This window comes from Homo sapiens, chromosome 5 (genome assembly GCF_000001405.40).
Source record: "Homo sapiens chromosome 5, GRCh38.p14 Primary Assembly".
Taxonomy (NCBI): domain Eukaryota; kingdom Metazoa; phylum Chordata; class Mammalia; order Primates; family Hominidae; genus Homo; species Homo sapiens.
In genome coordinates, this window is record NC_000005.10 from 78,390,459 (window position 1) to 78,417,288 (window position 26,830).

The following is a 26,830-nucleotide window of genomic DNA, read 5'->3' on the forward strand; positions in this document are numbered from 1 at the left end:
GATTCAACCTTATAATGAATTAGTGCTGTGAATATGTGAGAGTGCAATTTGGTAGTAGTTGTTGAAGGGAAAAAAAGAAGAGCTGGCAAATTATATTCCACTGTATGTAGTTCTTTTAACTTGATTTCTAGGAGGTGGAGATGGGAACAAGACCATTTTTAAACTTTGTCGATAAAGAATGAAAAGAGATTTTTTTTTCTTTTTTTTTTTTTTATTGATCATTCTTGGGTGTTTCTCACAGAGGGGGATTTGGCAGGGTCATAGGACAATAGTGGAGGGAAGGTCAGCAGATAAACAAGTGAACAAAGGTCTCTGGTTTTCCTAGGCAGAGGACCCTGCGGCCTTCCGCAGTGTTTGTGTCCCTGGGTGCTTGAGATTAGGGAGTGGTGATGACTCTTAACGAGCATGCTGCCTTCAAGCATCTGTTTAACAAAGCACATCTTGCACCGCCCTTAATCCATTTAACCCTGAGTGGACACAGCACATGTTTCAGAGAGCACAGGGTTGGGGGTAAGGTCACAGATCAACAGGATCCCAAGGCAGAAGAATTTTTCTTAGTACAGAACAAAATGAAAAGTCTCCCATGTCTACTTCTTTCTACACAGACATGGCAACCATCCGATTTCTCAATCTTTTCCCCACCTTTCCCCCCTTTCCACTCCACAAAACCGCCATTGTCATCATGGCCCGTTCTCAATGAGCTGTTGGGTACACCTCCCAGACGGGGTGGTGGCCGGGCAGAGGGGCTCCTCACTTCCCAGTAGGGGCGGCCGGGCAGAGGCGCCCCTCACCTCCCGGACGGGGCAGCTGGCCGGGCGGGGGGCTGACCCCCCCACCTCCCTCCCGGACGGGGCGGCTGGCCGGGCAGAGGGGCTCCTCACTTCCCAGTAGGGGCGGCCGGGCAGAGGCGCCCCTCACCTCCCGGACGGGGCGGCTGGCCTGGCGGGGGGCTGACCCCCCCACCTCCCTCCCGGACAGGGCGGCTGGCCTGGCGGGGGCTGACCCCCACCTCCCTCCCGGATGGGGTGGCTGCAGGGCGGAGACGCTCCTCACTTCCCAGACGGGGTGGCTGCCGGGCGGAGGGGCTCTTCACTTCTCAGACGATGGGTGGCCAGGCAGAGACGCTCCTCACTTCCCACACGGGGTGGCGGCCGGGCAGAGGCTGCACTCCCGGCACTTTGGGAGGCCAAGGCAGGCGGCTGGGAGGTGGAGGTTGTAGCGAGCCGAGATCACGCCACCGCACTCCAGCCTGGGCGCCATTGAGCACTGAGTGAACCAGACTCTGTCTGCAATCCCGGCACCTCAGAAGGCCGAGGCTGGCGGATCACTTGCGGTTAGGAGCTGGAGACCAGCCTGGCCAACACAGCAAAACCCCGTCTCCACCAAAAAAATACAAAAACTGGTCAGGCGTGGCGGCGCGCGCCTGCAATCGCAGGCACTCGGCAGGCTGAGGCAGGAGAATCAGGCAGGGAGGTTGCAGTGAGCCGAGATGGCAGCAGTACAGTCCAGCTTCGGCTTGGCATCAGAGGGAGACCGTGGAAAGAGAGGGAGAGGGAGAGGGAGAGAGAGGGAGAGGGAGACCGTGGAAAGAGAGGGAGAGGGAGACCGTGGAAAGAGAGGGAGAGGGAGAGGGAGAGCGAAAAGAGATTTTTATATAAATGTTTGCAAAACTTTACTAGCAAGAAATATGTTTAGCATTTTTATATAGTAGCAGCTTTAGATTACTCTTATCAGTTGTAGTATTCTTCATCAAGCTGTCTACTTTGTGCCATGTGCTTTGCCTGTATTATCTTATTGAATTCTCATAATATTCAAAATTGATATTTTAAATTTCCGTTTTACTAATAAAGATCTGAGACACAGGTCAGCTAGCAAGTAAGTGGCAGAACTGGCTTATTAACTCGTGTTATCTGTAAAGCTTTTGCCTTTTTCATTTTGCTAGTGCTATCTTTGGAGATAGTTGCTTAAGAAATAGAAAAAATAGTCCTGGTCTTTGAAAGATTTCTCACCTAATTGGTGTAATTAAAAATTACACAGACACAAAGAAGATATATCCAGAACAAATAAAACAAAATATAAATCATGATTGTAAATGTTGAGACTTTATAGTTACAAAAAGATTTTCTGAAAGTGAATAGTCTTGAGCAAGGAGCTAGGCAATAGTGAGAAGCCAATTTACAATGAAACACTTCCCTTAGATTTGATGAACAGTGATATGGTGTCAGAACCAGGAAAATTCTTATGATAATTGGGTGCATTTTCCTCTGCACTGTTAACATGATGGAAAACACAGTTTAAATATTAAATATTCCTTTGTTTATTATATAATGTGATTTCAGAAATTTGTCCATTTTTGTGGCTGTGATTATTTTCCAAAGAGATTAGGTGTAGTTAGATAATTGATTTAAGTGGTATATTAGCATTAGACCTTGGTCCTGTTTTAGTTAATTGGTGGTATTCGTATTTTTATCATAGGACAGTGTTTGTGAAACTGAAGCTTCTTGATTCTTGTATCAGGATATGGTGAGCTACTTGAGGTCAAGAAGGAAGATCTTCTAGCAGAATGCCTGAGTGTGTAATCTTGCTAAGATTTAGAAAGTTCCTGCCCTGTTCTTCTTTTTATTAAAATTGTTTTCTTCTGTACTTAATTTTTCTGTTTGAATGGAAACCTTAAGTTATTTAAGGAAGGCTACAGTATGGAAATCTTGAGTAATTATATACATATATATATATTTAGAGATAGGGTCTCACTCTGTTGCCCAGGCTGAAGTGCAGTGGCACAGTCGTTGCTCATTGCAGCCCCAAACTCCTGAGCTCAAGCGATACTCCTGCCTCAGCTTTTCAAGTAGCTAGGACTACAGGTATACTCTACCACATGTGGCTAATTATTTTCTGTAGAGAAGAGGTCTTGGTAAGTTGCCTAGGCTGGTCTCAAACTCCTGGCCTCAAGTGATCCTCCTGCCTTGGCCACCCAAAGTGCTGGGATTTTAGGTGTGAGCTACAGTGCTTGGCCTGCATAATTTTATAACTTATATATTCACCATTTTACACATTCAGAGAAAGGAGTTGTAACAAGACACTTTATAATATAGACTAAGTCATTTTATTGACAGTGTCATGAAAGCCTCTTGAGCACTTAAATGTGGCTAGTCTGAATTGAGATGTACTATAAAAATGGAAGATAGTCTTGAGTTATGAAATAATTTTTTTTGTTTGAATTCAAAATGCATTTTTCTACTGAAATTATGTTGTGCATGGTAGGTAGGTTTTCTGGCCTACCCTCTAAAATCTAATGCATAAATAGAGAAATTATCCTTAAGAATTGATGTATGTTTATGGGGAATGTTTTTCTTTTCAATTAAGTAACAGTTGAAAATGCCTATTGCTGCTTGATTCTCACTAGTTTTGGCCACTGGTGAGGGCATTTGTGGCTTTAGACAGAATTTTTTTTGGTGGGTATTGAAGGTAAGGGATAGGGACACCTGTGTGTGGGAGAAGTGCAGCACTGCTGACAAATCCTTAGAGACATTTCTTGGGGCCTAGTTTACTGTCATGTTTCTTTTCGTTAGGGATTGTCTGCCTGGTTCTTTTTCTGTTTCGCTAGTTGATGCCATATATGATTTCTGTCACATAGAGCAGAGAGAAGAACCACAAGAGAAAATTCCAGGTACTGACAGTGTGAGGGGGTATGCCCAGATGGTCATCTCTGACCATAAAGGGACATGGATAATTGGTTTATGTAAGGAAGTACTGCCTCTAACATAATTCAGGACATGAAGTAGACTGAGTCTAAAGAGGACCTGCATTTTAACCTAGGCCCTGTCACTAAGCAGTTGGTAACTTTAGGCAAACCATATAACCTCTTCGAAAATCTTTTTTTTATATATATATATATTACAATGAAGGCAGGGAGGAAAATGTTGAGTTAAATAATTTTATCTTTTTATAGACACAGGTTCTTGCTTTGTTGCCCAGGCTGGTCTCAAACTCCTGGACTCAAGAGATCCTCCTGTGTTGTCCTCCCAAAATGGATTACAGGCATGAACCACCATGCCTAGCTGAGTTAAATAATTTAGTATTAGTATCTCTTGAAAATTAGGACTAAAGCATCTAGCTGCAGGGGCTGACTGGATATAATTGTACATAGTAGTTTACTCATCTTTAATACTGCCAAAGCATTCTGTATAGTTTAACACCTGTCTTTATTTTCTCTCGCTGTGCACTTCTTTTTTCTTTCTCTTTGCCTTCTGCTTCTCACTGTTTTGTATTCTTGGAGCTCATTATCTGTCCCTTCTGGAACCTCTTTGTTTCCAGTCTCATTTAATGATACTGTTGACTTACATCCTAGTATCGTTGGCTAGAAATACCCGATTTGTCTTTGGCGCTAACAGCTTCTTTTCCTACATCTAATCAGTTGCCACATCCTGTCACTTATACCTGCTGGAGATATTACCTGTCTGTTCTTTTCATTCTTTCTTACCTGTCCTAAGTCAGGCACTCATGTGAAATAATAGAATGACCTATCTAGTTATCTACTTCCAGCCTTCCTCTTCAAATCGCTTTTTATACTGTGACTGGACTTATTTTCCTAAAGCAGAGGTCAGATTAGGTCATCTACCTTCCTTAGAAATGATTATGCATTACCTACTCAGTAGTTTGGCATGTGAGACCATCCACGGTTTGACTTCAGACTTTTTGTTTTTATTTTAATTTTTTTCGTAGACCATTTTTTTAGGCTTTCAGAACAATTGAGCAGAAAGTACAGAGTACCAGTTTATTTTCTCCAGACTGTCTTTTTACTCTTATCTTCTAATGTGCCATTTGCTCTAGCCAAAGTCTAATTAACTCATGAACCCCCGACCCTATTGAGACTGACTCCCCATTGTATAGAGTCAAGAGAGACTGTGGGTGATCATAAGGCTTGGCTTCTCTAGGTATGTTTATCCCCTTCAATGGATCCAGATGAATACTTCACACTGGATATATTCATTTTCTGTTGCTGTGTAACAAATTACCATAAACTTAGCTGTGGCTCAGGAGTTCAGATACAGCATTACTTACTGGGTCCTTTGCTCAGGGTCTTACAAGGCTGTGGTCAAGCTGTTGTCTTGGCTGCATTCTCATCTAGAGGTTTAATTGGGGAAGAATCTGCTTCCAGGCTTATATAGATTGCTGGCAGAATTTATATCCTGGTGGTCGTATGACTGAGGGTCCTAGCTTTTTGCTGGCTATCAGCTGGAGGCCAACCATTGATTGTAGATGCTGTCCACAGCCTCCAGAGGCTGTATAGTTTCTTGCCCCCTGGGCCTCTCCAACATGGCCACCTATTTTGGCAAGCCTTCAGAGAATCTTACTCCAGTCTGCGAAGAGGGAGTTTATATAATGTAACGTAATCAAAGGAGTGACATTCCATCATTTTTACCATATTCTCTTGGTTAGAAGCATGTCACAAGTGCTGTATGCACTCAAGGGAAGGGCATTATTAAAAAGATGTGAACATCAAGAGGTAAGAATCCTTAGGGTACACTTTAGAGTCTACCTGCCACACTGGGAATAAGATATGGTATATTAGGACTAAGTGTGTTTCCATCTGTCTCTTTATCCCCATTTAAAAGGGTCAAAGTAGAACCCCCAGAATACCTATCCCTCCCTATCCTTGAAACATAGAGGATTTTTAGAGTGACAGAACTACTCTATATGATACTATAATGATGGATACATGTCATTATACATTTGTCCAAACCCATAGAATGTACAACACCAAGAGTGAACCCTAATGTAAACTGTGGATTTGGGTGATGATGATGTGTCAGTGAAGGTTCATAAGTTGTTACAAATGTCCACTCTGGTGGGAGATATTGATAATGGGGGAGACTGTGCATGTGTTGGGACAGGGATATATGGAAAATCTCTGTACCTTCCTTTCCATCTTGCTGTGAACCTAAAACTGCATTAGAAAAATAAAGTTAAAAAGTTAGTGAAGCAGGAAACCAAAAACTGACCAGGTTCAGTTCAGTTTTTGACATGTTGGATTTGCAATTTCCAAGACATCCAGATAGACATGTTTAGTAAGCAGTTGATTGTATGAATCTGGTGTTCATCAGAGAGGTCTGGGCTGGAAGATATACATGTGGGAATCATTGGCCCTTAGATGGTATTTAAAGGTATAAGACTGGATTTAATCATCAATTGAGTGAACATGTATTGCAGAGAAGCAAGACCTAAACTCCTGGTGCACTCGAATATTGGAGGTGGAAGGGCAGGAGGAGAAAAGAAATAAAGGAGACTGAGAAGAAACAACTTAGTGTTCTGAAAGCCAAGTGAAGAAAGTGTTTCAATAATGAGATAGTGATAAACTATCAATGCTGATGATAGAGCAAATAAAATTAAGACAGAAAATTTATCATTGAATTTAACAATGTAGAAGTCATTAGCTATCTTGAATAGTGTAGTTTTGGTTGAGTGTTGGGAGCAAATGCCTTACTAAAGTATCTTTAAGAAGAAAGAACTGGGAAAAGCGCAAATAGACAACTCTTCATAGGATTTTTGCAGCAGTGGAGAGCAGAGAGTTTTTTTTAGGGAAGAGGATGAGAGAAATGGGGGCTGGAAAGGGAAAGGAGGTTAAGATAAAGTTTTGTTATAGTTACAGTAATCAAGACAATATGGTACTGGCATAGACATGCAAATCAGTGGAATAGAACTGACAGCCCAGAAATAAACACTTAAATTTATGATCAACTGATTTTTGACAAGAGTGTCAGGATAATCCAATGGGAAAGAATAATCTTTTCAGTAAATGGTGCTGGAATAACTGGATGTCCACATACAGTAGAATGAAGTTGGACTCCTACCTCATCCCATACATAAAAATTAACTCAATCATAGACCTAAAGGTAAGCACTAAAACTATACAACTCTTAGAAGAAGACATAAGAGTAAATCTTCATGACCTTTAGTTAGGCCATGGTTTCTTAGATGTGACACTAAAAATACAAACAACAAAAGAGAAAACAGGCAATTTGGACATCAAAATTTAAAACTTTTTGTCCAAGAGCACTATCAAGAGAGTGAAAAGACAGCTCACAGAATGGGAAAATGTTTGCAGATCACATATTTGATAAAAGACTTGTATCCAGAATATATATTAAATTATTACAGTTCAATATTAAAAAGACAACCAGGCTGGGTGTGGTGGCTCATGTTTGTAATCCCAGCACCTTGGGAAGCTGAGGTGGATGGATCATTTGAGGTCAGGAGTTCAAGACCAGCCTGACCAACATGGCAAAACCCCATCTCTACCAAAAATACACAAATTGACCAGGAGTGGTGAGTCCACATGGACTCAGATGTTTCTCCTTAGAAGATAAATGGCCAATAAGCAGGTGAAAAAATGTTCAACATTGTTAGCTGTCAAGATGCAAATGAAAACCACAAGGAGGATACCACTTCACATCCATTAGGATATCTATAATCAAAGAGTCAGGCAATAGCGAGTATTGGCAAGGATGTGGAGAATTGGAACCTTCACACACTGCTGATGGGAATGTAAAATGGTGCAGCTGCTTTGGAAAACAGTTTGCTAGCTCTAGACATTTGTTAAACGTGGAGTTACCATATGACCCTGTAATTCCACTCTTGGGTACATACCCAAAAGAAGTGAAAACATATGTCCACATCAAAACCAGTACACAAATGCAACCCAAAATTGGAAATAGCCTATGTTCCTATCAACTGATGAATGGATAAATAAAACCTAGCATAAAAATAAATGAAGTAGTTACTACAACATAGTTGAACCTTGAAAACATTATGCCTTCACCATTATCAAACAATTGGTGAATCTATATTGACACACCATAATCACCCAAAGTCTATAGTTTATCCTAGGGTTCACCTCTTTTTTTTTTTTTTTTTTTTTTTTTTTGAGACAGGGTCTCACTTTGTTGCCCAGGCTTCAGTGCAGTGGCATGAATGTAGCTTACTGTGACCTCAAACTCCTGGGCTCAAGCAATCTTCCCACCTTGGCCTCCCAAAATGCTAGGATTACAGGCATAAGTCACTGTTTCTGGCCCAAGGTTCACTATTTTTTTTTTTTTTTTTTTTTTTTTTTTGAGACAGAGTCTTGCTCTGTCGCCCAGGCTGGAGTGCGATCTTGGCTCACTGCAACCTCCACCTCCTGGGTTCAAGTGATTCTCCTGCCTCAGCCTCCTGAGTAGCTGGGATTACAGGTTTGCGCCACCACACCCGCCTACTTTTTTGTATTTTTAGTAGAGACGGGGTTTCACCATGTTGGCCAGGCTGGTCTCAAACTCCTAGCTTCAGGTGATCCCCCTGCCTCAACCTCCCAAAGTGTTGGGATTACAGGCGTGAGCCACCGCGCATGGCCCCAGCGTTCATTCTTGATGTTGTACATTCTGTGGGTTTGGACAAATGTGTAATGACCTATATCCATTATTATAACATCATACCGAATAGTTTCATTGCCTTGAAAATCCTCTGTGCTGTACTTATTCATCTCTTTGCCCCTTCCCAGACCTTGGCAACCACTAATCTTTTTACTGTCTCCATAGTTTTGCCTTTTCTACAGTGTCATATAGTTGGAATCATACATAATGTAGCCTTTCAGATTGGCTTTTTTCACTTAGTAGTATGCATAATAAGGTTCCTCTGTCTTTTCATGGCTTATTAGCTCATTTCATTTTAATGCTGAATAACATACTATTGTCTGGATGTACCACAGTTTATTTAGCCATCCACAAACTCAAGGACATCTTAATTACTACCAAATTTTGGCAGTGATGAATAGAGCTGCTATAAATAACTGTATGTGGGTTTTTTGTATGGATGTAAGTTTTCAGTTCCTTTGGATAAATACCAAGGAATAGACTGACTGGACCATATGGTAACAGTATGTTTAGTTTTGTAAGAAACTGCCAAACTATCTTTCAAAGTCTGTACTATTTTGCACTCCAACCAGCAATGAATGAGAGTTTCTGTTGCTCTACATCCTCTCCAACATTTGGTGTTATCAGTGTTTTGGATTTTGGCCATCTTAATTGGTGTGTAGTGGTGTCATTGTTTTAGTTTGCATTTCCCTGATGACATATGATGTGGAGCACCTTTTTATGTGCTCACTTGCCATCTTTGTATCTTCTTTTATGAAGTTTCTGTTAAGGTCTTCTGTCCATTTCTTAATTGGTTTGTTATTGTTGAATTTTAAGGGTTCTTGTATCTTTTGGATAACGGTTCTTTATCAGATGAGAATATTTTCTCCCAGTCTGTGGTTTCTGTTCTCATTCTCTTGACATTGTCTTTTGCAGAGTGTTAATTTTAAGGAAGTCCAGCTTTTCAATTATTTCTTTCAGGGATCATGCCATTGTTGTTCTATCTAAAAAGTCATCACCATACCCAAGGTCAATTAAGTTTTCTCCTGTGTTATCTTCGAGGAGTTTTATTGTTTTGCATTTTATATTTAGGCCTATGATCCATTTTTAAATATTTGTTTGTTTATTTTAGTGACAGGGTTTTGCTGTGTTGCTCAGGCTGGTCTTGAACTCTTAAGCTCAAGGAATTCTGCCTTGGCCTCCCTAGTAGCTGGGACTATAGGCATATGCTTGGCTTCTGTGATCCATTTTGAATTAATTTTGCTCTAGCACCATTTGTTGAAAAGACTGTTCCATTGTACTGCCTTTGCTCAGTTGTCAAAGATCAGTTGACTGTAGTTATGTGGGTCTATTTTTGGGCTCTCCATTCTGTCCTGTTGGTCTGTTTTTCTAATCTTTTGTCAATACTATACTGTATGGATTACTGTTACTTTATAGTAAGTGAACTCTAGTAGTGTCAATCTTCCAACTTTATTCTTCTCTTTCCATATTGTGTTGACTGTTTTGGGTTTTTTGCCTTTCCACATAAACTTCAACATTAGTTTGTCAGTGTCCACAAAATAACTTGCTGGGATTTTGATTGGGATTGCGTTGAATCTGTAGATCAAGTTGGGAAAACCTGACATCTTAACAGTGTTGAGTCTTCCTATCCATGATCATGGAATATCTTTTATTCTTCTTTGATTTCTTTCATCAGTTTTGTAGTTTTTCACATATAGAATGTATACATATTTCATTAGATTTATGCCTGTTTTACTTTGGGAGATGTTTATATAAATGGTATGGGTTTAATTTGAAATTCGACTTGTTCATTGCTGTTACATATGAAAGTGATTGACTTTTGTATATTAACTTTGTGTTGTGCAACCTTAGTATAATCATTTATTAGTTCTAGGAGGTTTTTGTCAGTACCATTGAATTTTCCATGTTGATGATCTTGTTATCTGTGAACAAAGACAGTCTTATTTGTTTCTTCTTAATCTTCATACCTTTTTTTTGGGTCTTATTACATTAGTTAGGACTTCTAGTACAATGTTGAAAAGGAGTGGTGAGAGGGGACATCCTTGCCTTTTTCCTGATCTTAGCTGGAAAGCTTCTAGTTTCTCACCAATAAGTTGATGTTAGCATTGGGCTTTTTGTAGGTGTTCTTTATCAAATTGAGGAAGTTCCCCTCTATTCCTAGTTTGCTGAATGGTTTTATTATGCATGTGTGTTGGATTTTGTGAAATGCTTTTTCTGTATCTACTGATATGGTCATATGATTTTTCTTTTTTAGCCTATTGATGTAATGAATTACATTAATTGAATTTTGAATGTTGAACCAGCCTAGGATACCTGGAGAAAATCCCACTTGGTTTTGTATGTGATTCGTTTCATATATGGTTGGATTCAATCTGCTGATATTTTGTTGGAGATTTTTGCATCCATGTTCATCAGAGAATATTGATCTATAGTTTTTTTGTAGTGTCTTTGGTTTGATATGAGGGTATTTCTAGCCTCATAGGATGAGTTAGGAAGTCTTTCTTTTGCTTCTTTCCTCCGATTGAGACTGTATGGAATTAGTAAAATTTCTACCTTAAATGATTGGTAGAATTCACCAGTGGATCCGTCTGGGCCTGTTACCTTCTGTTTTGGAAGGTTATTACTTATTGAGGCAATATCTTTAATAAATAGAGGCCTATTTAGATAGCTTGTTTCTTCTTCTGTGAGTTGTCACAAATTGCATTTTCCGAGGCATTGGTCCATTTCTTGTAGGTTATCAGATTTGTGGGCATAGAGTTATTTATAGTATGTCTTGGTTATCATTTTAATGTCTATGGGACCTTAGTGGATGTCTCTTCCTTCATTTCTGATATTAGTAATTTGTGTCCTCCCTTTTGTTCCTCCTTAGGGAGCCTGGCTAGAGGCTTATTGAGTTTATCGATCTTTTGAAAAAGCCAGGTTTTCATTTTGTTGATTTTTTTCTATTGATTTTCTGTTTTTAATTTCGTTGACTTGTGCTCTTATTTCTTTCCTTCTGCTTATTTTGGATTTAATTTGCTCTTCTTTTTCTAATTTCCTAACATGGAAACTTGGAGTATGGATTTTAGATCTTTCTTATCAAATATATGCACTCAATGCTATACATTTTCCTCTAAGCCCTGCTTTCACAGCATCCCACAAATTTTGATAAGATGTACATTTTTTTTTCCACTTAGCTCAAAATACTTTAAAATTTCTCTTGAGATTTCTTCTCTGACTTGTGTTATTTAGAAGTATCTTTTTTAATCTTCACATATTTTGGGATGTTTCAGTTTTCTTCTTGTTATTGATTTCTCATTTAATTCCCTTGTTTGAGAGTAAATACTATATTTGTTTTTTTTTTTTTAATTTGTTAAGGTGTTTTTTATGTTACAGAATGTCTTCTGTCTTGGTGAGTGTTCCATGTGAACTTGAGAAGAATGTGTTTCTGCTGTTGGATGAAGTGGTTGATAGGTGTTAATTATATCCAATCAACGGATGGTATTGTTGAATTCAGCTATGTTCTTAATGATTTCTTGCCTGCTAGATCGGTCCGTTTCTGATTTGAGGGGTGTTTGAGTCTACAACTATAATAGTAGTTTCATCTGTTTCTCCTTGCAGTTCCATTAGTTTTTGCCTCTTGTAGTTTGATGCTCTGTCATTAGGTGGATGTACATTAAGGAATGCTATGTCTTGGAGAATTGACCCATGTGTCATTATTTAATGCCCTTCTTTATCTCTAATAACTTTCTTTGCTTTGAGTCTGCTTTTTCTGAAATTTTTTATCAGTGTTAGCATGGTATATTTTTCTGTTTACTTCTAATCCATATGTTTATTTATATTTAAAGTGGGTTTCTTATAGACAACATATAGTTGGGTCTTGTTTTTTGATCATCTCATAATCTTTTAATTAGTGCCTTGAGACCGTTGATGTTCAAAGTGATTATTGATTTAGTTGGGTTAATATATATCATATTGATTGCTGTTTTCTGTTTGTTGCCCTTGTTCTTTTTGTCTTCTACTCTTGGTGGTTTGTTTTGTTTTATTTTGAGACTGTTTCACTCTGTCACCCAGGCTGGAGTGCAGTGGCTCAATCCCCGATCTCAGCTCACTGCAACCTCCGCCTTCCAGGTTCAAGCTGTTTCAGCCTTCTGAGTAGCTGCGATTACAGGCACCTGCCATCACACCTGGCTAATTTTTGTATTTTTCGTAGAGGCAGGGTTTCACCATGTTGGCCATGCTGGTCTCAAACTCCTGGCCTCAAGTGATCTGCCTGCCTCGGCCTCCCAAAGTGCTGGGATTACAGGCATGAGCCATTGTGCCCAGCCCTCTTGGTGAGTTTAATAGAACATTTTATATGATTATAATTTATCTCCTTCCTGGTTGCCCTAGAGTTTGCAATATACATTTATAACAAATCCAGACCTACATACAAATAACTATACTGTTTCACAGGTAGTGTGAGTGCCTTATAATAAGAATATGATTCCTCCCTCCCATCTTTGTATCATTGCTGTCATTCATTTCGCTGATATATAAGCATATATAAACATATATATGTATATATATACACACACAAGATATTTGCAGAAGAACCCATAATTGAATACATTGTTGCTGTTATTATTTTGAACCAACTGTTTTCTCTTAGACCATTTGAGAATAAGAAAAATAAGACGTGGTGTCTCATGCATGTAATCAGCTTTGGGAGGCCAAGGTGGGAGGATTGCCTGAGGCCAGGGATTCAAAACCAGCCTAGGCAATGTAGTGAGATCACATTGAGATCCTGTCTCTACAAAACAAAACAAAACAAAACAAAGAACAAAAATTAGCCAGGCATCAGCCTGGTGCAGTGGCTCACGCCTTTAATCCCAGCGTTTTGGGAGGCTGAGGCGGGCGAATCACTTGAGGTCAGGAGTTTGATACCAGCCTGGCCAACATGGTGAAACCCTGTCTCTACCAAAAATACAAAATTAGCTGGGTGTGGTGGCATGCGCCTGTAGTCCCAGCTACTTGGGAGGCTGAGGCAGGAGAATTGTTTGAACCCAGGAGGCGGAGGCTGCAGTGAGCCAAGATCGTGCCTAGGGGACAGAGTGAGACTCTGTCTCAAAAAAAAAAAAAAAAAAAAAAAAAAAAAAGGGATGGTGGGCATGCCTGTTGTCCTAGCTACTCAGGAGGCAGAAGGATTGCTTGAGCTCAGGAGTTTGAGGCTACAATTTGCTGTGATCATGCTACTGCACTCCAACCTGAGTGACAAAGTGAGACCCTGTCTCAAAAAAAAAAAAAAAAAAGGGTTTTAAACTTCGTCTATTTCTTGTATGCTCATGCTTGCTTTATGTGGATCCAAGTTTCTGACCTATATTATTCTCATTCTCTCTACAGAACTTACATATATTTAAAAATATTTAATATTTCACTGCAGCCTTGACCTCCCAGGTGGATGGGACTACAGGCATGTGCCACCAAGGCTAATTTTTTTATTTTTTTAGAGACGGGGTCTCACTATATTGCCCAGCCTGGTCTCAAACGCCTGGGCTCAAACAGTCCTCTTGCCTCAGCCTCCCAAAGTGTCGGGATTATAGGTGTGAGCCACTGTGCCCAGCCTTACAGGTTTTTTTTTTTTTTTTTTTTGCTAGGCTGACATGATGTACTGGGTAAAAGGAATTGCTGTAATTAGGTCTTTAGTTGTGTGGTGGCAAGGTGTTCAGAAGCACTCTATAGTCCTGTGATTAGGTCTCAGTCTTTTATTGAGTCTATGGACTTCACAAATGTTTCGAAGTTGTTTTCTTCTTTCTTAGGTGGGACAGAATGGCTAGAGTTGGCTGCAGTTGGGTATTTCCCTTCCCCCAGGTGAGTTAGGCTCTGATAAGCCCCAACAGGTTAGGCACTGGTTAAATAGTTTCTCCTGAGGGGAGGCCTTGTTAAGAACAGAGTGCTCTGGTGTTTTTCAAAAATGGTTCTTCCCCACTCCACTTGTTAGAAGAAGGAGGGGATTTTTTTCTCCATGTACTATGAGTTGAGTTCCTGGAGATAAAACAAAAGTGCGAGGGGACTCACCACATGAATGGGTTCCCCTGTAGATTTTAACTCTCAGTGTTGTCTATGCTGAGCCTCCAACAATTTCTTAATTACAGTTAAGGTTTTTCTACCCCAGTAATGGTTCTTGCAGTGGTTTCTGCTAGAGAGCTTTTGCTCTGGCAAATTGTTACTCCTTGTATTGACCTATTTCTGCAGTCATGGGTCAGCAATTTGCCCTGTGTCCTCACATCTCTTAACGATCCAGAATGAATTACTGATTTTTTAGTTTGTTCATCTTTTCACTTGTTGTTAGGGTGGAGTGGTAAATTCTAAACTCCTTATACATGAAACTGGAAACTGAAAGTCCCCTTTACTTGCTTTAATTTTTTTCAGAGTAAAAACCATGAGTCTTTAAAATAGCCTTTAATCTGATCCCTAATATTCTTTGTTCTTCATCTTGTCGCACCCTCTCCCTGTGTATTCCTGTCTAGCACGCTGATTCCTCACATATTCCATGCATTCTCCTGACTTTGCACTGGTTGTCACCTCTGCTTAAAATGGTCTTCCCCCCAGGTAGATAATCTGCAAGACTTACTTTCTCACCTCCTTGAAGTCTTTGTTCAAATATTGACTTCCCCAATCACCTTTATAAACTTATTCTGTCAGCCTGTACTCATGACCTCTTCACTCTGGTCTTTTTGTTGTTGTCCCGTAAAATGATTGCCTTTTAAGATGCTCTAGAATGTATTTGTTCAATATGTGTATTGTTTATCTTCTGTTGCTGGAATGTAGCTTTATGGGAGTAGGGGTGTTTGCCTATTTTGTTCATTAATGTATCCCAATTCCTGTATATGTTTGTGGCCCATTGTAGTTGACCAATGAATGTTTGATGAATGTATGAATGAATGGATATGGTCACATTTGTTCTTTTATGTTCCTTTATCTATTTGAAAACTCCCATACTGGTATATTTCTTCTTTCCTATTACACACGTCCTTCCCCAGACAATTATCCTAATCTTCAAAAACCTTATTTTAAAGTGATTAGTCTAATAAAGTTATGTCTGTTTGTCCTGATTCTGAGATTAGTATGTGTAAACTTTCAGCACTCTTAATAACAAGGGAATCTGTGTTAAGCATAGCCACAGTCATTTCTTTGCTGAATCAACGGCTGTTAAAGTGAGTGAAAGCTGCAGAAAGTTTCAGGATCCTTTTGGCAGTTTAAGTGAAAGAAATAAAACAGTGTTTTATAGAAGCTGTAAACTTTGTTGCCTTAGAGGGGAGTTCTCAAATTTTAAGGTGTCTAAGAATCACCATGGGGAGTTTGTTAAAAATGGTAGTTTGTTAAAAGTACAAATTCTCTCTTCTAATCCCTAAGGTTCTGAATCAATAGGTTCATAGAAGGGCCCAGAGTTTGCATTTTCAGTAAGTACCTGGGGTTTCTGATACGGGATGTCTGTGAATATAAATTAAGTAACATTCTTTTAGACCCTACATACACTTTGGCTGTTTTTTGGTTTAGAGATGGAAGAGAAAGAGCTGGAGAAAGCAAGAAGAAATTTCTGGAATAGGTGTTTAGAATATGGAAGAAAACCTGGAAGGAGAAAATATATTTGCTTATGCATGACAAAGACAACTCATGAACTTCCTGTGCCTTGAAGAGACCTTGGGTAGTCGTTTATTTAAAATGAATCACCCTTGGAATTTCCAGTGCAGAGAGCTTACTATATTATAGAGCAGTCCATCCACTATTGTATAATCATGATTATTATAATGTTCTTAATTCTCTTGAGCCAATATATTTTTCTATAATTTTTATCTGTTTGTCCTAGCCAAACTGAAGAGGCAAATGTAGTAAGGTAATTCGTGTTAAAATATAAAATAATTATAACCCTTATTTTTCTAAGAGATATTTAAGCATGTAGTCTATTCCCAGTTTGTTAAATTTCATCCATCCATGGGATGAGGATATACAGCCTTGCTCTGCCAGACTTTGTTTTTGATTCTGCCTCCGGGGTCAGTTCTCTCATTCTCTTCCAGGTCTGTTCCAGTTTTGTTCTTTGTCTCCAACTCTGCACACTCTGCTTTTCTCAGTACTTCAAGTTTTTCCCAGGTACAGCCAAAGTAGTGGCAGACACAGTTCTAGGTTTGTCAGGAGAGGAGCTTACTGTAGTACATTTGGTTGCAGTAGAGTATTTTCTTTTTCCCTGCCAATAGGTTGGCTTTCCTTCTGTATTTGGAGTTTTGGTCCATGTAAAATGAAGATGATATACTATGGAGTGCCCAGTGAGATAGAGAGGTCTTCCTTTTTGCATCTCAAATTTTTCTTCTCCTGTCATTTTTTTCTTGTTGTTATCCCTAAAGTAGAAGTTCTGTTAGTGAGGGTCTATTGGTAGTACTTTTTTCAGTATTTATTGTTATTATTTCATCTTGGTTCTCAAACAGCTGATCTGACTGGTTTTAGAGTTCTGCATTATCAGTTATTTTCTCTCAGCCATTTAGCACATTATACTTGAGCTTGCATTGTTGCTGTTGAGAAGCTAGCTCAGTCTTAGGATCTTAGGTGAAAGGATACACAGTGGTTTATAGGTGACCTTCCTTTGTGTGGGAATTATCCTTTTTTTTTTCTTGCAGTTTTTAAGGTTTGCTCTTTCATTGTGATGTATCTGAGTGTTACTATTTTTAAAATTTGGCTTGTGTTTTAGGGTTTTGAATCTGAGAATTAGTGTCTTCATATACTGTTTAAACATTGACTCTCCCTTATCCTGTTTTTTTTTTTTTCCCCTCTGGACCTCTTAATTGTATGTTAGACCTTCTCAATCATCATGTCTTATAATTTCTCATATTTACATTTTTTGGATCTCTGTGCTGTGTCATTAGATTCACTTCCATTCCTTTATTATTTCATCTTTGTGTAGTTTGCTGTTCAACTTGTCTATTAAATTTATAATTTAAAAGTCATTATTATAGTTTTCATTTCTAGAATTTCATTTAAGAAGCTGGCCAATTCTGATAGTCTCTTGTTAGTCAAACTTGTATTACCCTCTTAATTCTTTATTAAACACACCTGTTTTGTATCTGATAATTCAAATATATTCAGGTCTTATTTTGTAATTTGCTATTTCTGTGGACCCTTGTGGTTTGTTTCCTCATAGATTTAAATCATAAGCCAAAGTTACTTGGAACTTTATCTGTGTTAATTTCTTGAAGCCTGGTGTATTAGTCAGTTCTCATGCTGCTAATAAAGACATACCCGAGACCAGGTAATTTATAAAGAAAAAGAGTTTTAATGGACTTGCAGTTCTACATGGCTGAGGAGGCCTCACAATCATGGTGGGAGGTGAAGGACAAGCAAAGGCACGTGTTACCTGGTGGCAGGCAAGAGAGCATGTGTAGGGGAAGTCCCCTTTATAAAACCATCAGGTATCATGAGATTTATTCACTGTCATGAGAACAGCATAGGAAAGACCCACCCCCATGATTCAGTTACCTCCCACCAGGCCCCTCCCATGACACGTGGGAATTATGGGAGCTGCAATTCAAGATGAGATTTGGGTGGGGACACAGCCAAACCCATGTCACCTGGTTTTAATGTTTGTTCCTCTACTTTTGCCAAATGCCTGAGGCCACTACCAGCCTGAGATCCTTTTCACTGAAAATTGGATGTTGGATTATCTTGTCCATGTGGGTAGTGGAATTCTGACCTGAGATCTGCAAGTTGGTAGGTTTTTGGTTTTTGTTTTGTTTTGTTTTGTTTTGGAGACAGGATCTTGCTCTGTTGCCTAGGCTGGAGTGTAGTGGCATGATCTTGGCTCGTTACAACCTGCCTCCTGGGCTCAAGCTATCCTTCTGCCTCAGCCTCCTAAGTAACTGGGACTCCAGGCATGTGCCACCACACTTGGTAAATTTTTAAATTTTGGTGTAGAGCTGAGGTCTCACTATATTGCCCAGGCTGGTCTCAATCTCCTGGCCTTGAGTGATCCTTCCACCTCAGCCTCCCAAAGTGCTGAGATTACAGGTGTGAGCCACCATGCCTGGCCATTGGTAGGTTTATGACTGGGAATTCTCAGGGAAGATTTCCCTTTTTTCCTCCCTTCTACATCCAGAATTAAGGACAAGACATGGAGGTATTCCCATCATTTATTTTTCTTCTGTGAAATTGCTTTTTTCTTACTCATCCACTGAAACGGTCATTTTTTAGAGACTCCTGGCTTTATGCAGGGATCTTGTCAATCCCTTACCATCCTTGTACCAGCTCCAAAGCTTTGTCTCTAGTTTACTAGTGCAGATGGATCACTAGTAATTTGGTGAATGGTTTGGTATCAAGGCTGTTCTTTCTTTGGATTTAGTAGTTCCTGCTTTCTTGCCTCCCAGGATTTCTTGTTGCGTTAGTTGTGTATTTACAATATTATTTAAATAAAATTTGGTCTAGTATTTTAGGTATTATGTACTAGAAGGGGATCTCTACATATGGGTGATCTGCTATGTTTTAAGAAGTGAAAGTCTTGAGTGGCTTGTTTTATATTTATATATATATAGATAGAGACAGAGACACATATAGATACACACACACACACACACACACACACGCATACACGCTCATCTGTCCCAGAGTGAAAAGTTGGAAATGAACTGGGAACCATCATCACAATAGGTATTTAGTAGTGATGAAAAGAGGTCGTCCTCCAGAATTCTACTTGGCTTGAGTTGGCTAATCCACTATGTTGTGGCTGAAGAAAATACTGGGTCTTTAACATCTACAGATGTGAAGAAATTATCAGGATAATAGCTATTAGATTTATATCAGTGCTATTAGAGATTTGTGGCTCTCCAACATTTCTCATCATTGCTATACTGCAAGCAACTATGGCCTTAAATATATCGCATTACCAGCTCTAACCCTACCTTCATCCTTATCTACTAGTTTATTATACTTAATACTTCCTTGGTTATTTAAAGTAATACAGCATTTATAGCAAGGTTTCAGCTGGGTACATTCTTGGGTAATTTCTTCTGTGTTTTTCCTGAAATATGCTGCTGCCAGGCTAACTTTGCCAGACATTTTATTAGTATTTGGTCATTGTTTTATTGTTGCTGCTTATTACACCAAGAAGACAGGGCTTTGGGGCGATGCTTTTGGTTTTTTGCTGGGGGAAGATCTTTATTACTGATCAAGATAGCAGTTCTAAATGCCATGTGAACTTGGGACAATATATGTGAGAATTATATCTCACTTAAGGTGCCGGGAACTCTTTTTCTTTTTTTTTTTTTTCCAACTTTTTAAGTTCTGGGGTACATGTGCAGGATGTGTAGGTTTGTTACATAGGCAAACGTGTGCCATGGTGGTTTGTTGCACAGATCAACCCATCACCTAAGTATTAAACCCAGCATTCACTAACTATTCTTCCTGATGCTCTCCCTTTGCCCACCCCTAATCCCCATCCCCATCTCCCGACAGGCCCCAGTGTGTGTTTTTCCCCACCATGTGTCCATGTGTTCTCAATGTTCAGTTCCCACTTATGAGTGGGAACATGCTGTTTGGTTTTCTGTTCCTGCATTAGTTTGCTGAGGAGGCTGGCTTCCAGCTTCATCGATATCCCTGCTAAGGACATGATCACATTCCTTTTTATGGCTGCATGGTATTCCATGGTGTATATGTACCACATTTTCTTTATCCAGTCTATGATTGATGGGCATTTAGATTGATTCCATGTCTTTGCTATTGTGAATAGTGCTGCAGTAAACATAGGTGTGCATGTGTCTTTGTAGTAGAATGATTTATATTCCTTTGGGTATTTACACAGTAATGGGATTGCTGGGTCAAATCGTATTTCTGCCTCTAGATCTTTGAGGAACCACCACACTGTCTTCCACAGTGGTTGAACTAATTGACACTCACACCAACAGTATAAAAGCATTACTTTTTCTCCATAACCTCGCCAGCATCTGTTGTTTTCTGACTTTTTAATAGTTACCATTCTGACTGGTGTGAGACGGTATCTCATTGTGGTTTTGATTTGCATTTTTCTAATGATCAGTGATGTTGAGCTTTTTTTTCATATGTTGGCCCCATGAATGTCTTCTTTTGACAAGTGTCTGTTCATGTCCTTTGCCTGCTTTTTAATGGCATTTTTTTCTTGTAAATAAGTTTAAGTTCCTTATAGACTCTGGTTATTAGACTTTTGTCAGATGGATAGATTGCAAAAATTTTCTCCCGTTTTGTAGGTTTTCTGTTCACTCTGCTGATAGTTTGTTTTGCTGTGCAGAAGCTCTTTAGTTTAATTAGATCTCATTTGTCAATTTTTGCTTTTGTTGCATTGCTTTTGTAGTTTTTGTCATGAAATCTTTGCCCGTGCCTACACCCTGAATGGTATTGCCTAGGTTTTCTTCTACAGTTTTTATAGTTTTGGGTTTTACATTTAAAGGACCATACTTTTCTAATTGGAGAAGTTAGCATTGATTAGCCTTAGTTTTTCTGCCCATTAATAAGAGATACTGGGTGTGGGGGAACAAGCATTTGGAAAAGAGAATTTGTGATTATTTTAGTGACAAAAGATTGTAATGGAGATTTTAAAAATACAAGAAAATGCTCTTAATCCCACTGCCCAGAAATAATCCCTATTAACATTTTGATATATTTTCATCTTATTTTAAAATAGGAAGTTCGTGTCATGTTGTATATACAGCTTTGTTTCATAACTTTTTTTAATCACTTATTTGTCCAAGCTTCCTCATCTTATTGCACTCTTTTAGAACTTTTAAATAGCTGTATTGTATACTTTCCTATAGCTGTATCAGTTTAACCATTTCTTCTGTTGTGTTGGACATTTGGGGTTTTGCTTTTGTAAATAAAGCTGTAGTGAGCATTCTTGGCATACATACATTTGCAAATATCTTGGATTATTTCCATAGGATATTTTTAAAGACCAGATATTCATAGTACATAGGGTATAAATACTTCTATGGCTCTTGAAACATAATGCCAAATTGTGCTCCAGGATTGCTACATGTACTAGTGTATAATCCCACTTTTCAGTGTGTGAGAATATCTATTTTACCACATCTTTCTCAAAATGTGGTAATCCTATGATAATCATTTTAAAAATAATTATGTAAAATGTGCATTTCTTTGATTACTAATGAGGTTGAAATTTTTTGTATGTTTATTTTTCTTTTGTATTTTGTAAGCTGCCTGTTCAGAGTTTTTAAAAATGCAGTTTTTTTCAGTAACATGTTTATCTGATAATTTTGTATTGATTTGTACCTAGTGAAATGTATTAACTAATTGTTGTATATGTTGCTTATTATTTAGATTTTGCCATCTAATCTTGATTATGAATGCTTTATATCATCAAATTTCTAAATTTTTATGTGGTCAAATATATTACCTTTTCATTATGATTTCTTTCCCCTCATCTTTTCTGAATGTTTAGAATGACTTTTCTTCACGCCAAGAGCAGATAATGCCCTATAGTCTATAGAGTGTATTTTAGTGTCTTTATAGTTGTTTTTTGTCTTGTTTTGTTTTTTTTTTAACATTCAATTTTTAATCCATTTGGAATTCTTTTGAGATACAGGGATTTTGTTTTTCCTCCCCCAATTTAAATAATTCTCCCAACAGCATTTGCTGACAACCTTTTGTATTTCCATTGACTTGAAATGCTATCTTGATCAGTGCTTTAATTTTCATATGCACCACCATTGTGTATATTGTGTAAATTCCAATTTTGGTATTGTCAGAGTTTGTTTTTCTATCTCATGGTTTTGAAATGATATATGATTGTTTTTGCACTTCTTGATTACTAGTGCTGTTACACCTCTTTTCACATGTTTATTGACCTCTTTCTATTGCTTGTTCAGATCTTTTGCTAGTTTTTCGATTAGTTTGTATTTTCATGGATTTGTAACAATTCTTTATATATTCTGGGTAGCAATTTTCTGTTATATGCATTACAACTATCTTTTCCTAGTCCATGATTTGACTTTTTACTTTTTGTAAATTTCAGTGTAATTAAATTCGTCAATTTTGTGTGGTGTGTGTTTTCCATTCTTAATTTGACAGATACTTACTGAGCATCTACTGTTTCAGGGACTATTTTGGGTACTTGGGATAGGTCATAAACAAAATACACAGTATTTCTAGAGTTCATATTCTAGAAGCTCAAGAAATATTCATAAAAATATTCACATGTATTTTTCCCTGAAAGTGTTTAAGTTTTGCTTTTTCAGTTTTAGATCATGAATTTACCTCGAATTAATCTTTGTATATGATGCGAAGTAAGAAATGTTTTTTTTTCCTATATGAGTAACCAGTTATCCAGGCACCGTTTATTGATTAACACATTGTTTCTTCACTGTTTTGTAGTGACACCTCTGTTAGATATCAAGTTTCTGCATTTGTGTGGGTTTGTTTCTGTGTCTGTTTTGTTTATTGGTACACTTCTCTGTCCTTGCATCTGTATTACACTCTTAATTACTGTGGTTCTATAATAAGCCTTGATATCATAGGTCTTCCTACTTTGTTTTTCTTCAAAATGGTTTGACCTGTTTTTAGTTCCTGCCTTTTTTTTTTTTTTGAGATAGACTCTCACTCTGTAGCCCAAGTTGGAGTGCAGTGGCATAATCTGGGCTCACTGCAACCTCTGCCTCCCAGGCTCAAGCGATTCTCATGCCTCAGCCTCTCCAGTAGCTGGGACTACAGGTGCACACCACCATGCCTGTCTAATTTTTTGTATTTTAGTAGAGACGAGGTTTCACCATGTTGCCCAGGGTGGTCTCGAACTCCTGAGCTCAGGCGATCTGCCCACCTTGGCCTCCCAAAGTGCTGGGATTACAAGTGTGAGCCTCTGCACCCAGCCGGTTCTTGCCTTTTGTATATGCATTTTAGAATCAGCTGAACTACAGTTATATCTTTGGTTATGCGTGGCTTCCTTTTCAGGGCTGCTGTTAGCTGTGTCAGAGTAAAATCCTGCTATATATTGGTGGTGTCTTCTGGTTTTAATAGTTCTTAAGATCCTTGAACGTCCTTGTGCAGCTTCTTTCTTTTTTATATTTTTCTTATTTATGACCTCCCCCTTCCCTCCCTCTTCTCTTTCTTTCCTTTCTTCTTTTCTTTTCTGTTACTGTTTTTGCTTCTATTGTTCTTTTCATGTTCCCATCCTTGTTTTTTGTTTTTTTCTTATGGTCATTCTAAAGAGTACTTTAAAAATATATTTTTATTAAAGTAGTATATGGTGCATGTGTCGAGGGAAGCAAATAATACAGAGGCATATAAAACAACAGGTGCAAGTCCGTCTGATATCAGGTGGCCGAGACTTCCCAGATATTTTATGGGGGCATGTATAAATCTGTGTCTGTTGAAAAAAAGGTCATATACAGACTGTTCTGTAGCTTGCTTTATTTTTTAATTTAATTTTTATTTTATTATTATTATTATTTTTTGAGATGGAGTCTTGCTCTGTCTCCCAGGCTGGAGTGCAGTGGTGCGATCTTAGCTCACTGCAACCTCCGCCTCCCGGGTTCAAGCGATTCTTCTGCCTCAGCCTCCCAAGTAGCTGGGACTGCAGGCGCCCGCCGCCACACCTGGCTAATTTTTGTATTTTTAGGAGAGATGGGGTTTCACCATATTGGCCAGGCTGGTCTCGAACTCCTGACTTTGTGATCCACTTGCCTCGGCCTCCCAAAGTACTGGGATCACAAGCATAGGACACTGCGCCCGGCCAGCTTGCTTTATTTTATTTAGTATTTTAAAAGACATTCTTCTATCGCTAATTTATTCTCATGGCTGCATTGTATGTATATACAGTAATTTAACCAATCCCCCATTGATGGACTTGTAGATGTCTACTTCCTGATCTTGCAGCTTTCAGACACTACTGATCCTCACTGGCAAAGTGGAAGTTGGGTAATTTATTTTCTCTCTCCTTACGCCTTCCCTTTTACTCTTTTAAATTTAGTGGGGTTCTACCAAGAACTTTCCTGTATACTCTTCAGAGCACTGGCATGTAGCTTTCTCAAGAGGGAAGAGTTGGCAGTAAACCTTGGTGTAGTTCTTTTGTCTGGTTCTATCTGTATTTTACTATTAAACTCAAAAGTTCTTTTTTTTTTTTTTTGAGATGGAGTCTTGCTCTGTTGCCCAGGCTGGAGTGCAGTGGTACAGTCTTGGCTCACTGCAGCCTCCACCTCCCCGGTTCAAGTGATTCTCCTGCCTCAGCCTCCCAAGTAGCTGGGATTACAGGTGCCCGCCACCACACCCGGCTAATTTTTGTATTTTTAGTAGAGACGGGGTTTCACCATATTGGCCAGGCTGGTCTTGAACTCCTGACTTAGGTGATCTACACGCCTTGGCCTCCCAAAGTGCTGGGATTACAGGCATGAGCCACCATGCCTGGCCTCTATTAACATACGGTATCCTGGAGGAGAGTGTTTGTCATATAGTGTTATAAGTAGCAGTCTGATTGTAGAGTTGAAAAATGAATGAGTTGGAGAAAATGGAGATGGAGAATTTAAGCAGCTCTTTGCCACACACTTGACTATGAGAGAGCAGGGAATGAAGAGATGCAGATTTTGGGATTTTTCATTTTATTGGTGTTATACTTTTTGAAAGAAGTTAAAGTTGGATCTCTGTGTTACATAATTTTCCTTCTCTTAATCCTCCTAGCCTCCACCAGGCGGTGTGAAGATGCCTAATGTACCCAATACACAACCAGCAATAATGAAACCAACAGAGGAACATCCAGCTTATACACAGATTGCAAAGGTTAGTTCATGTTAGTTGTATAAATTCATATTGGCCATTATAATATCAATAACATTTGCTTTCAGAGCAAAATAAATCTTTATATGGTTACATTTCTGTTGCTTAATTTTTAACTCACTTTCAAGTCTGGATTTGCTGTCTTGTCACCCTTCAAATACTCATTCCTCTTTTTGTCAGCTTATACCATTTGCTTTATTCCATTATTAGGAATTATTGAATTTATGTATCATCTCAGTGGATAAATTTTTATTGCCTTTGGTCCCACTTTTTAATGCACACTACCATTAAGGTAAAAATGATGGAATAATAGATATTATTGGGAGAGCGTTGCAATGGTAAAATAACAGTGTTAGGAGGTAGAAGATGGCAAAAATCTGAGAAGAAAGGAGATTAATAAGATGCCTGATAGCATGTAAGGGCAAATTGAGTTATAAAGAATTTCTTAATCACATCTTTTGACCTCATTCTCCTATAACATTTAAGATATTAGAAAATATTCTTGCATTGGTGGCCTTATATATCATTTAATCTGATTAATAGGAGCCAATTCAGTTGCCCTTTTTTCTATTGTTCATTTTCCTCAACTGTTCCCATTGCCTCTGTTCTTCACTCATTTAGGCATAGAGGTCATCTTAATTTCATTTTCCAGATTACCTAAAGATTGTGACTACTTTTACTAAGAGAAGTTTTCCTCTCCTAATGGACCCAACATTCCCACTGAGAGTTTCTGGAACCCAAAGACCAAATGGACCAAATATCCTCATAATATTTTCTGTAACTATGATCTTCAGTAAATTCCTGTACTTTGGAAGTGTGTTTGAATTAGGTTTCTCTCATAGTAGAGAAGTAGGAGTTAGCATATAAATGTTAAAGTATTTTATACTTCTGACAGTCTATTCACATATTGATATTTTTTATTTAGGAACATGCATTGGCCCAAGCTGAACTTCTTAAGCGCCAGGAAGAACTAGAAAGAAAAGCCGCAGAATTAGATCGTCGGGAACGAGAAATGCAAAACCTCAGTCAACATGGTAGTATCCAAAGAAATTTGAAATAAAAATAACTTTTAAATACTTTACATTATGTCTATACTAGCTCCTAGGTCATTTGGCCTGTGGATAAAACCCTACCCTGTTTTCCTGTTCTAACAAGGAGATCAGACACAGCAGATTGCCTGTTTGATACTCTGTAGCCTTCTAATCTTGGCTGATTTGCATAGTCTTTTGTTGATAGCTTAGAACAGTGTTAGCCTCATCACACAGAAAATGAATGTGAATATGATAATTTTTGCTTACTCTGAGGCCAGGAGCCTTTGATTCTGCAGTTAGGCCCTCCTTGGTTCTGTGGACTCTTTATGAGTACATTTGCATGTACCCTACATTTGACTTTTACCTGATTTATTCAGGTTAATTTCAGATTATCTGCCCCAGTCCTCGCAAGTATTTTGTCAAATCATGTTAGAAAAATTGGAAGCCTAAGGTATTCATATGATGCCAAAGAAATAAGTGGTGAATTGTTGCAGTGAATTCTATTAAGTTTGTGCCTGCCAAAGCACTTCAAAGGAGTCTCTTAGGGAAAGCTAGCAGTCTCTGAGTAAGAAGAGATAAAAGAGCTAGATAAGTCATTGTTAGGATGTCTGGGATAGTGATGCAATGCAAAGCTAGAACAAT

General features: G+C 38.7%; 1 protein-coding gene across 4 annotated transcripts in view, besides 2 other annotated features; it reads left to right on the forward strand.

The window, feature by feature from the left end:
- Positions 1-26,830, forward strand: part of SCAMP1 (secretory carrier membrane protein 1) — a 120,123-nt gene that overhangs the window by 29,842 nt on the left and 63,451 nt on the right. For all 4 annotated transcript variants that reach the window (NR_110885.2, NM_004866.6, XM_011543727.4 and 1 more), the window contains 2 exons: positions 25,062-25,160; positions 26,083-26,191. Coding sequence is in view for 3 of the 4 variants with exons in the window: in NM_004866.6 (NP_004857.4) it covers positions 25,062-25,160; positions 26,083-26,191 (208 nt within the window). In the remaining variant the exon portion in view is untranslated. The remainder of the gene's footprint in view (positions 1-25,061; positions 25,161-26,082; positions 26,192-26,830) is intronic.
- Positions 1,093-1,671: an enhancer, noted in NCBI's record as "H3K27ac hESC enhancer chr5:77687375-77687953 (GRCh37/hg19 assembly coordinates)". NCBI's record gives its function as "activates a minimal SCP1, AML or CMV promoter by ChIP-STARR-seq in naive H9 embryonic stem cells {active_cell/tissue: H9 hESC(naive)}" and the evidence as "EXISTENCE:reporter gene assay evidence [ECO:0000049][PMID:30033119]".
- Positions 9,114-9,314: a silencer, noted in NCBI's record as "peak5302 fragment used in MPRA reporter construct". NCBI's record gives its function as "represses an SCP1 promoter by STARR-seq MPRAs in K562 erythroleukemia cells {active_cell/tissue: K562}" and the evidence as "EXISTENCE:reporter gene assay evidence [ECO:0000049][PMID:32103011]".